Source organism: Homo sapiens, chromosome 2 (genome assembly GCF_000001405.40).
Source record: "Homo sapiens chromosome 2, GRCh38.p14 Primary Assembly".
In the NCBI taxonomy this organism is placed as follows: Eukaryota; Metazoa; Chordata; class Mammalia; order Primates; family Hominidae; genus Homo; species Homo sapiens.
Genome location: NC_000002.12, coordinates 48594489 through 48607232, shown reverse-complemented (window position 1 = coordinate 48607232; position 12744 = coordinate 48594489). Strand labels below are relative to the sequence as shown.

At 39.6% G+C, this 12744-nt stretch overlaps 2 protein-coding genes across 5 annotated transcripts in view; both read right to left on the bottom strand.

Moving 5' to 3' along the window:
• Positions 1-12744, bottom strand: part of STON1-GTF2A1L (STON1-GTF2A1L readthrough) — a 246595-nt gene that overhangs the window by 169287 nt on the left and 64564 nt on the right. The window lies entirely within an intron of this gene.
• Positions 8720-12744, bottom strand: part of STON1 (stonin 1) — a 68360-nt gene continuing 64335 nt past the window's right edge. For both annotated transcript variants that reach the window (NM_001198595.2, NM_006873.4), the window contains one exon: positions 8720-12005. In NM_001198595.2, coding sequence (NP_001185524.1) covers positions 11931-12005 — 75 coding nt within the window. In that variant the 3' untranslated portion in view covers positions 8720-11930. The remainder of the gene's footprint in view (positions 12006-12744) is intronic.

The following is a 12744-nucleotide window of genomic DNA, read 5'->3' as shown; positions in this document are numbered from 1 at the left end:
AATATTGGCACGCATTCTAAACAATAAGTATAATAATTGTTGAGTTTTAATAATGCAAATGAAAGATTCAAATCAGCATTTTTTTTTAGTTTCTTAGCGTATAATAAACATTGTATCCTACATAGAAGTTAATTTGGAGAACTCCCAGTTATACACTTGGACCTCTGACACATGTGGACTGATACCCATATTCGTCTCGGGATTCATAATGGTCCAGGTGCAATTTGTGTCTCTATTCCTTTGGTACCATGTATTCTTGGATTTAAACAATAGATTTAAAATAAACTGTGATTGTAAAGATGAAGAAATAGAATTTAGGTTACTTCTTGTTTTTGTTTTTTTTTGGATGGAGTCTTGCTCTGTCGCCCAGGCTGGAATGCAGTGGTGCGATCTTGGCTCACTGCAACCTCCACCTCCCCGGTTCAAGCAGTTCTCCTACCTCAGCCTCCTGAGTAGCTGGGATTACAGGACCCTGCCACCACGTCTGGCTAGTTTTTTTTGTTGTTGTTCTTGGTTCTTTTTAGTAGAGACAGGGCTTCACCATGTTGGCCAGGCTGGTCTCAAACTCCTGGCCTCAACTGATCCGCCCGCCTTGGCCTCCCAAAGTGCTGGGATTACAGGCGTGAGCCACCGTGCCTGGCCAATTTTTTTGTTTGTTTGTTTGTTTGTTTGAGACAGAGTCTCACTCTATTTCCCAGGCTGGAGTGCAGTGGCACAATCTCTGCTCACTGCAACCTCCGCCTCCTGGGTTCAAGTGATTCTCATGCCTCACCCTCCCAAGTATCTGGGATTATGGATGCCCACCACCATGGACAGTTAATTTTTGTATTTTTAGTAGAGACAGGGTTTCACCATGTTGGCCAAGCTGGTATTGAACTCCCAACCTCAGGTGATCCATCTGCCTCAGCCTCCCAAAGTGTTGGGATTACAGGCGTGAGCCACTGTGCCCAGCCAAACTTAGGTTACTTCAATTCTGTCATTCTATGTGACCATTTGGAGTTTTTATTTGTATCTTTAAATTTAAAAGACTAAAATGGAGTGTGAATTGCAAGATGTAATATTTTTGTTTAGTAAGTTTTGTTTCATTACTTTATACATTAAATATTTACTATTTTTGAGTAATAATATTTTTAAATTGAAGTTTATTCTTCTATTTTAATTGTGAACTGTTTTTGTTGCACAGCTTTGAAATTATTCCTAACACATGTATAGTTTGCTATGAGTGACATATGTTTTACTATGATAAGAACTTGCGATGTACTCCCACTTCCTCCGAGAATGTTACATCACACCTTATCAAACCCCATATGTGAACTACTGACTTCAACTACTGGACTCCAAAATACAGTGGTGTGCTTCATAACAATGTTTCTGTCAATGAGGGACGGCTTATAAAATGGTAGTCCCATGAGATTATAATACCATAGTTTTACTGTATCTTTTCTTTGTTTAGATATGTTTCGATACACAAAACCATTGTATTACTACTGCCTACAGTATTCAGTATAGTAGCATGCTGTTACCAAAAACATGTTTGTAGCCTAGGAGCAATAGACCATACTATATAGCTTAGGTGTGTAGTGGGCTATACTATCTAGGTTTGTGTCAGTAAATTCTATGATGCTTGCACAACAACGAAGTCTCCTAACAACACATTTCTCATTTTGTACATTTTCCCATTGGTAAGTAATGCATGACTTACCTACAAATCTAATAGTTTGGCAGACACTTTGAGAGATTAGGCCATGGCATGACTGCACTCTGTTGAGTTGCTTCTCCAAAGATCGTGAGCTCCAGGTATGGCAGGACTACATCCTGTTAGCCTTTGGGGTCATCTCCGAAGACTCAGCAGCAACACCCACACTCTTGCATGGAGGGACCTCCTGTGTCTGCATGGATCTCTGTTGTGCTGATCAAGCTATCTCTCCCAAAATCCTCTCTTACACTCATACCTGACACTTCAACTAGCTTTCACTTTCCATAGAGCCTGCATTCATCCTAATTGAGCAACTAGGCTTTAGTAATTTTGGAACTCATTCATTACATGGTTAATGTACTTCATCTATCAAGTGTATTCCCTATGAGATTTGTTCTTGTGATTCTTTCCCTCTTTAAACATCATGGAAAAAATTCCCTGTGTGTGACAATAAGCCATGTGAGTCGTGAAATAATATTTTGATCACCTCCTTATTTGAACCATACAAAACAGCTTTAAAATAAATAATGAATCAAAACAATAAAATATCCCACTAATAGTATGATTTCACAGTTGCCTAAATTGTACCTTTCACAGATACTTTAATTTTATTAAAATTCACTTATTAATTACTGGACAATTATTTACATAGAATATTAGTGTATCATCTATAATAAAGAATCGAAGTTCAAACTATTAGGTAGATATAAAAACTATGAATAAATAGGTGTGCTTTTTTTATCCTGCAGGAACTTTGTTGGCATTCTTAAGATTATGAAACCAGCAACTGGTTTATAATTATTCTGAATTTGATAAGAAAATTTGAAGTGGGATTACCATCCTAATATGAAATGACATTGACCCAGTGAAATTCAACCAAGAAAAATTTTAAAACAAAGCAGGATGTGATTGAAGCAATGGCTAAATTTATTTTAAAATATGTAATGCCTACAATACCACACATATAGTTAATGAAAATTCTGAAGAAATACAAGCTGGCATAGTCAAAGCACCTAGGCTAGAAACAGCAAATGATTCGGATGACATGGGCTAAAAGATAACAAGGAATCATTTTCTATAAGCATTAACAATAAGGAAGACAAAAAATTTTAGCAAGAGTCAACATCAAGAAGATAAAAATAATAGTAATGACAAAGAAAGAGCCAGAGAGCAGACAAAGTATCAAGACTTGAGTCTTAAGGGATGTCAGGGAAGTATTGAGATCTCATCCTCCCCAGCCACTGTTCCAGTGTTCATATTGACAGCAAAACTCCTCAAAAGAGCTGAAGGGGAACAGGTGTACTGGCTCATGCCTGTAATCCCAGCACTTTGGGAGGCAGAGGTGGGTGGATCGCCTGAGGTCAAGAGTTTTGAGACCAGCCTGGCCAATATGGTGAACCCCTGTCTCTACTAAAAATACAAAAATTAGCCGGGAGTGGTGGCACACACCTGTAATCCCAGCTACTTGAGAAGCTGAGGCACAAGAATCACTTGAACCTGGGAGGTGGAGGTTGCAGTGAACTGAGATGGCACCACTGCACTCCAGCCTGGGCAACAAGAGCAAGACTCTATTCCCAAAAAAAAAGGGGGCTGAAGGGATTCGTGCCATCCCAAAATATGCTGTTTTGGCATATTGATTATTTTAATCTGAAGGCACTTGAGAAACAGCTCATGCAGAAGGGCTCTGATATGGTATGGATGTGTTTCCCCTCCAAATTTTATGTTGCATTGTGACCTCCAGTGTTAGAGATGAGCCTAGTGGGAGGTGTTTGGGTCATGGGGGCAGATCCCTCATGAATGTCTTCATGCTGTCCCTGCGATAATGAGTGAGTTCTCACTCTGTTCATTCATGCAGAGCTGAGCCTGGAAGCTCCTCCTCTCGCTCCTGCTTCTTTCTCACCATGTGACATGCCTGCTCCCGCTTCACCTTCTGCCATGAGTAAAAACTTCCTGAGGCCTCGCCAGAAGCCAAGCAAATGCTGGTTCCATGCTTGAGCAGCTTGCCAAACTGTGAGCCAATTAAACCTCTTTTCTTTATAAATTACTGAGTCTCAGGTATTCCTTTACAGCGATGCAAAACAAACTAACATAGGCTCTCTGACCTCCTCATTTCTACCTAAAAACAGATCATAAAATTTTCCATGAAAAAGGTGCCTTCCCTGTACTAGGAAGAGAACATTCTTATCACCAGAGACTAGGAGTTGATGCCGAAATGGACTTCCACAACAAACTACCAAAACGACCCTGTCTTTCGTTAATTTCCCCCATGTATTTCCTAGGCACTGTCCTACAATTTAATGCCCCAAGCCCAAGCCCCTTTGTCTTGTCACATCCCCATAATTTATTGTTCTTTGCGTGAAAATGTATATAAGCTTCACGGCCTACTGTCTTCCTAGGGTCTTCATTTCCCTTTTGAAGACTGCCACGTCCGTGTAAAAATATTAATAAAATTGGTATGCTTTTCTCCTGTTAATCTGTCTTATGTCAGTTTAATTCTTGGACCAACAACAGAACTGAAGAGGGTAGAAGGAAATTTTGCTTCCCCTACAAAGCCATTTACTCCCTGAGTCCAAACCTGCTTGAGTTTGCTTCCATTGCTCTCACTTCAGTGACACTGTTTCTGTCAAGGTCACCATTTCCATGTTGCTAGATTCAGTAGTCAACTCTCAGTCCTCATCTTACTCTAGCAGCAGCATTTGAGGAAACTCATTACATCCTTTTTCACTTGACCCCTGGAATGAATGCCATTCTCTTTTTTCTTCTACTCCAGCTACTCTTCCTCAGTGTCCTTTATGACATTGCCCTCATTTTCCTGACCTCTAAACTCCAGGGAGCCCAAGGGCTCAATTCTCAGCCCACTCCTAGTGTATATTTACTCCCAGGTGATCCCAGTTAGTCCCATGGCTGAAAGCGCTGATATCTCTAAGAGGCGCATCTTTATCCCAGCCCTCTTTCCTGCCTTGTACATTCAATTGCTACTTGCTGTCTCCATTAGACGTCTAATAGGCATCTCAAAGTTAACACATCCAAACATGAATTCCTGATCTTTCTCCCCAAAACCTGCTCCTACAACACCCTTCCCCTCGTCCATAAAATCAACTCCACTCTTTCGTTGCTCAGGCCAAAAATCTGGCAGTTGTTTTGGTTCCCTTCTTTCCCTCACGCGCCACATCTAATCCATCGGCATATACTATTGGCTCCATATTTCAAATATGTTCTGAATTCAACCATTTTTCATCTCCTGTCACCACTCTCAATCACCGTCACCTCTCACCTGATGCTATCATCTGAATGTTTGTGTCCCACGCAAAATTCATATATTGAAACCTAACCCCCAAGATGATGGTAGTGAAAGGTGGGGCCTTTGGGAGGTAATTAGGTATGAAGGCTCTGTCCTTATGAACAGGATTAGTGCCCTTATAAAAGAGGGTTCAGGGAGCCCTTTTGCCCCTCCTGCCATGTGAGGACACGGCAAGAACGTGCCTACTATAAGAAACAGACAGGCACTCACCAGACACTGAATCTATTGGCACCTTGATCTTGGACCTCCCAGCCTCCAAGATTGTGAGAAATTTGTGTTGTGAGAAATTTCTGCTATCCCTCAGTCTCAGGTATAGCAGCAAGAAAGGACTAAGACACCTGAGATACTGCAATAGACTCTTAACTACTTTCTTTGCTTCTGCCTCTACCTCCTTTTTATGTCCACACGATCATCTTAACATGTAACAAAGTTCTACCCCTCCTCTACACAAAGCCTTCCAGGGGCTCCCATCTCACTCAGAGTAAAATCCATGGCCCACAAAACCCTAGGTGGTCTGCCTCCCCCACCTCCCCACAATCTCTCTGATCTCTTTCCACCTCCATCCCACCCCCTTGCTCACTCCGATATGGCCATCCAGCAGCCATCTGTCCTCTGTGATGTTCCTCTGACGGGTTAGCACCCCGAGTCCCGCACCTATGCACTAGCAGAGCCCTCTGCTGGACACACTCTTCCCTGGGGATCTGAGTGGCACTCTACCTCATTTCTTTCAGGTCTCGCTGCTAGAATGTCATCTCATCAAAGAGAACGTCCCTTACCAACCTATCTAAAATGGCACGCTTCTACCACTCTTTATTGTTTTACCCTGCTTTATTTTTCTGCATAGCAATAATCACAACTTGATATTTATTGCCTGACTTCCCCCACTATTATATGCTCTCTATAACAGCAGGAATTAACTGTTTTTGTAATTACTTGTCCCTAGTACCTAGAAAAATGCAGACATATAGTAAGCACTTAAGAAAATTAGAATGATCAGCAAGATGATTATTTGGAACGAAGGTCACATAGCATTTTGAGGTGACTCAGAGTGCCAAACTGGCAGCCAATGTCTTTAGGAAGCCTTCTGTACTTCAGAAGGCTTTGGGAATGCTGCGTGCGTACAGCTACACTCATAGACTACTCATGATATAAGACTTTTGGAAAGAGAGTGTCCTAACTGGCTTTACAAAAAACAACAACATCCACCCAGGGAGATTTCTGAGAGAAATACAGAGCCCATCTTGAAAAGAACAATATTCATTACTCCTTTCTGAGGACTGAAACAGAACCAAGGCTTGTCCCTGAGTCAAGGCAGCATGAAATATTCTCCTGAAAGCATATATCTTTGCTTGTTCTTACCTAAGAAGCTGAAAGTACAATCCTGGACTGGAGATTTTTAGAGACCACATTGACCTTGACACATGCCAAAGCAGGATGAATTAATTATAATATCTTATAAATCTTTTAAAGAAAGAAGATTTTATTAACTCTCATTAGAAAAATTTTGTTTGAAACCTGTGGAGAAGGAAGACACTGTTTTTCTTTCTCTGTAACAGTTAGAAATGTTCAGAGACAAGCATAGTATTTAAATCTTTCGGATGTGTAAAACTGTATTTGACAGCATTTTTAGACTAGGCATTAAGAATACTTTAATGTGTTTGTCTATTGCATTAATTTTAATTATACTCCACTGGACTCACAATGCTTTGAAATGCTTTATTAAATGCCCCCAAGATCTTGCACTAATCATAATACAAGCACCACCAAATTTAAATGCTTATATTTCTAGAGCTGGGTAGCATCAGCTTGCCCGAGAGCACCCTCTTCTGTTTAAAGAATGTACTGCAAATTACATTTCATGGAGTTCACAATTCTGGATTCTACAAAAGGGACTTCTCAGGAAAATGTCAACACGCACAGTCATATTATTTAAAGAAGCCACTCTTCCCTCTGAAGTTTGGAAGGCTGTGCGAGTGCAGATACATGAAGGGTAAGCAGCAAAACCCAGAGTCTAATGATGCTGTGCCTTTCTTCCCCAGGAAGTCTCACGGAAATGAACTGAAATATTTTAAAACTTGGGGCAATTAATCTAATCAGTTTTCCTTTTCCTTACAGAGGAAAATGATTACATTCCTTACAGATGATTTTAAAGGCACAATATTATCTGTAGCTTGTATCTATGGATTTTTGTAATTCAACTATTTGCTTCTTGACTAGCAACTCTGTCTTGCTTTAAAAATTAGTCAAATTCATATTTCATTGCCATTTCTAAGCAGGATAACAAAAAGTGCTTGTATCATATGACCTAGGGAAATATGTGGATAATTAGATTGAGCCCGTGAAATTCCCATCAAGAAAGGTAAATATTGGCGATTACATATGATTCAACAGAATACACATAACCCTGTGTTTTAGGGCCCTGGCTAAGGGTATAAGTTCCTTGGAATACAGTAGTTGCAGAGGATGGGGAGGGTCTAGGAGAGACAACATCAAAATCTACCCTGTGTCTACACAAAAGCGGTGGGACAGTCTAGCCAGAGTTGAGACAAAACAGGGAAGAATTGATTGATGGGATTTTGAGGACTGTTGTTACAAATATGGTCAGTTTTTGCCAGTCAATCCTTTTGCTGTTCCTGAAGAACTAGGGCCAAGCCTTGTGAGTGCTAGCAGTGGCTAAAATGGTGCTTCATGCTCTGTCTTCTATGAAGTACTGATGCCTTTTTGAAATATTAACTTTAGTAGCTCAATAAAAATTTAATTTCAACACAAGGCAGATTTCTTATAAAAAGGAGGGTGGAGAGGTTGTTAGGTTCGTCCTTTATAAGCACTGATTCCCTTCATATCTCCTACAGCCTCCCTCCACTCCCGCACAACTCTCCTCCACTCTCCCCCAACTCCCTACCACCCACACGTATATCTTACCTGATATATATTCTGTGCAATTTTGTAAAACTGGTTTTCTAAACTTTAAAAATGTGGCTTTTAGGTGCACATTAATTCTACAGGACTACTCTACAAGTTGCCAAAGGTTGAAAATTCCATGGAATTCTGTGGACAAAGTTTTTCCTGTTTTCAAGGAAAAATTGTGAAAGGCTTTGAATAGTGGTAATCTTATGCATGTATTCATTTCATATATTTCTTTTTTTTTTTTTTTTTTTTTTTTTGAGATGGAGTCTCACTCTGTTGCCCAGACTGGAGTGCAGTGGCGCAATCTCTGCTCACTGCAAGCTCCGCCTCCCGGGTTCACACCATTCTCCTGCCTCAGCCTCCCCAGTAGCTGGGACTATAGGCGCCCGCCACCACGCCCAACTAATTTTTTTTTTTTTTTTTTTTTTTTTTTTGTATTTTTAGTAGAGACGGGGTTTCACCGTGTTAGCCAGTATGGTCTTGATCTTCTGACCTCATGATCCACCCGCTTCAGCCTCCCAAAGAGCTGGGATTACAGGCGTGAGCCACCACACCCAGCCTCATATCTTTGTGAGTCATGATTATACCCTATTTTTAAAATCATCCTTTATAACATTATCAACTATACTTTGATGATGTCATTTTTCCAGGATATGCAAAGAGGTCATGGTCACTGACTCCTTAAGAGTGGAGCCTGACATATGCCTGACAGAGGGTCAATTGTTTAAGGTTATTGAAATTGATTTCATACCTTAAGAAAAAAAAATAGCCCCAGGTCTTGCAGAAGAAGATATAAATTCACAGCACAGTAAGAATAGTTTGAAATACATTTTTAATTTTTGAAAAATCAATATGTAATCTACAAAATATTTTGTTACATGATTAAGGCTCAACCTGTCTTATATTTGCATTGACAGAATACAAAACTGTATTTTAAGTAAGACATTATAATAGTCATTGTTAAGGAAGTCCTTCTAACTGACTTTATAAGAAAAGGGGCTGTATCACAAGCATAGCTCTGGAATGAAGGGAACTAACATCCTAGAACTGTCTAATATATACATCAGGTTGTAAAATTCCAGCCTTTATTTATGTGCTGGAAAGTATCTTTTTTACATATCTTTTTTTAGTGGATAAACTCTTGTGATTCCCACAGAAAAAGGAAATGTTCTTAAATTCAGATCTGCACAAATCATCTACCCATGAATTCATTTACACAGTTAATATGATCCTGTAACTGGAAAGGTGACCAGACTAGTCACAAACTGGTCAACTCCTTGGAAGTCTGCTCATTTGACTCCAAAATGGTCAAACTCACAATGGAGTGATCTAAGCAAAATGAATGCTAGAAAGGAATATTTCCTCCCTCATTCCTTTCCTTCCCCGCTTCCCTCCCCTAAAAGCAAGGGTTTTTTGAAGATCACTATTCCGGCAAGGGCAGTTCTACTTAATTTGAACCCTACCTGATTTTTCACCTAGAGTTCTGTAGTCACATCTGACCTTCTGCCAGTTCTGAGGTCAGAAGAATTGAATAAGCCTCCCCTCCCTACACAGAATGTTAATTTAACATTAAGTAATGAATATTTAAGGATCCTAATAGATGTGCGAATTAACAATTATGCTGTAACACCCTGCTGTTAATGCTATCAGCTTCTGCATTGCCACAGACAATCCATTTGGGCTTTAGTCCAGCTTTTGCTATTATATTGTCAAGACTGAATCTTGAGATGTCCTGAAGGCCCGGTGGCTTGTGAGTGAATAACCTGGGCAGGGAGGTACCCACAGATACTAGTCAACCTGTGAAGCATGAGGGGCAACTAAGTGAACCCTTTGCTGAATATATTTTGAGGTGTAAATAGTCATTAAGTTCATCCTAATCAGACTGTGAGTTCTTTGTGGGCAGGATGCCATAAAACACACTTAGAAAGGAATGGCAGTAATTAACCCACCTAACTTCACTGGGACTGTGGGCAGCATCAGTTTCGGCCGGCCTCCACATTCGTTCTGAGCAGACTGAAGTCACTGTAGAGTGCGCCCACACCAGATGATAAAGAAAGATGGTAGAATTTTTTTAATGACATACACACACAGATTTGCCCTACTCTACATCAACAGTGAGCCTCAAGCATATGATATTATAAGCAAGGCATCAAATGAAGTTAAAAAGAGCAATAGCGGCCGGGCATGGTGGCTCACGCATTTAATCCCAGAACTTTGGGAGGCCGAGGCTGGTGGATCACCTGAGGTCAGGAGTTCGAGACTAGCCCGGCCAACATGGGGAAACTCCGTCTGTAGTAAAAATACAAAAGAATTTTAGCCAGGCATGGTGGCTTGTGCCTGTAATCCCAGCTAGTTGGAGGCTGAGGCAGGAGAATCCCTTGAACCCAGGAGGCGGAGGTTGCAGTGAGCCAAGATGACACACTGCACTCCAGGCTGGGCAACAGAGTGAGACTCTGTCTCAAAAAAAGTAAAAAATAAAAACAGCAATAACAATTCCTTTCAACCAACCATCACCTATTGCATTCTTTGCCTTTACAGTAAAATAATGAAAAGCAATAAAATCTGCTGATTGATACAGACCATCATAAATGTTTGTCTTAATCTGTTTTTGAACAGATTTCAATGAATGTAATATAATATTAAATATTAAAAAAAACACATGAAATAAACTCTGTAGGCCAACACATAAATGTTGTTTGGAAGAACACTAAATCAGTTTTGACTCAAAACAAATCTAGCAAATAGAGAAAAATATCTCCTAATTATGTTTAAGACTCAACATAAATTGAAGGTATATTAATACCACATGGGGGAGTTTGTTTTTCAGACTAAAAACAATACCTGGAATATAGATTTCATAAATTTTAAAATTCTCACTTTTCACTGTAAATGCTGAAAGGAAATTATAAACAGAATTATAACTGCTAATGCTATTGACTTTTCATTAGAAACCAAACTATTATAGTCATTTACCTGACTCTGAAGAATAAAAATGTTGCCACTTAGAAATCTGGGTAAAATACCAAGTATCTTTCACTTTGCTCACCTTTTAATGAAAAATACTCTAAAATAAGCAGAATTAGCATAAAACAGCATGATAGCAGAACTAGTATAAAATAATCATAATGTGATTTAGACTTCTACTCAAGAGAGGCTTGTGTTCATTACAAATAATACTTTATCAAAATATGTCCTTAGAGTCTGTACTTTTGGAAAATAGTATTTATAAATTTTAAAAATTCATATTTAATATACACAAATATGTTAACTAGTGTCTAATACTCAGATTCCATTTTGAAAGGAATCCTGCCAAGTGAAAGGAAATATGTCTTAGTGATTTATACTAAAATATGTAGGACAACAGAAATAGCTTCTTTGCAGCACGCGCCAGAAAACAAACACATTTTGAAAATGACAATACAGTAGGAGAGAGACAGGTACCAAATATAGCCAATTATTATTTACCAACGGTAAGAGGACAGGTAAATAAGTAATTCAAAAGCACAGATACTTCCAGATCTACATTTTAGCCTGTGGTTTCAACATCATTCTACACCTAGCCACATTTCAGAGGCAAGAAAGAGGGAAAATTAACTATTTTGGTTTATGTCTCCTTTGATTCCCTTACCCTCTAGTACAGACACTAAGCAGCAAGAAGAGATGGGAAGAAATGAAGACGGCACCTCAGTAATCCAGAGAGCAAAACAGTCAGCCACTGAGTAATCAAAAATCATACTGGCTGCGGGGTCACACAACGAGTAACAGTGCCTTTGAGTTTCAATAGGAAGCAAAACATCACACGAATTATAGAAACATTTTAGATCGAACCCCTAGGACAAAAACACATGAAAAGCAAAAAATACAGATTGTTCGGTTTTAGGTCTAAACTTCTCTAAACACAGCCATCAGACCTGTCCTAAAACCGCTATTCAGAAGTCATTTCCACTCTACAGTAGCAGGACTTGGTGTGGTTTCGGTGAATTACATATTTGACAAGTGGGCTGTCATCATAAACTCTTGCTACTCCTACTGAGTTATGCAGTCACCAATTTTATCTGGGTCTTCTCCATCGATTTTAATCCACTTCTTTTCTATTTCAACCTGTTATGCAAAAGCAAAACACAGGCAGCATTAACAAATGCAACACAGCACTCACACCTCTTCAGTCCTATTTTATACATGTGGCACAGACTGCACAAACCTCACCCTTTGGACACAGACACAGCCCTCTACCCTCCTACAGTAGCTTCCAAGTGAGGCGCTCTGCTCTCCTTTTGAACAACAGAGCCCCTCAAATCCTCCCCGCCAGGGTCAAGTCTTCAAGAGCACCAAAACTGTCTTCTAAGTCAAACGTAGTTTTTATAAAATGTATACAGAATATGTATACTGAAAAAAAATTTACAGATCTGACTAGACATATGATCAATTATCCCTCTACCTGAATATATGGCTGTATCATGTATCTAGCCATTGGCCCCCTTAAGATTTATAATGCACCCAAAATTATCTAATTGAAACAAGCCATCTTACAAACTATTAGGTTGCTGCAAAACTAATGGCAAAAACCGTGATTACTTTTGCAGCAACCTAATAGTAAACCATCTGCTCTTCATCATTTTTGTCTCAGCTCAAATGTCACATCCTCCTGGAGGTCCTCCAGGACTACCCCTGATAAAGCCCTCCAGTCACTCTCTATCCCGTTACCCTATTTTATTACCTTCTTGGAATTTGTTATTAGTTGAAATCATATTTATTTATTTATTTATCTACTAACTATTTTTCGTTTACCCCCACTAGAAACTATGCTCCATGAGGACAGGGACTTTGTCTCTCTGTTCAC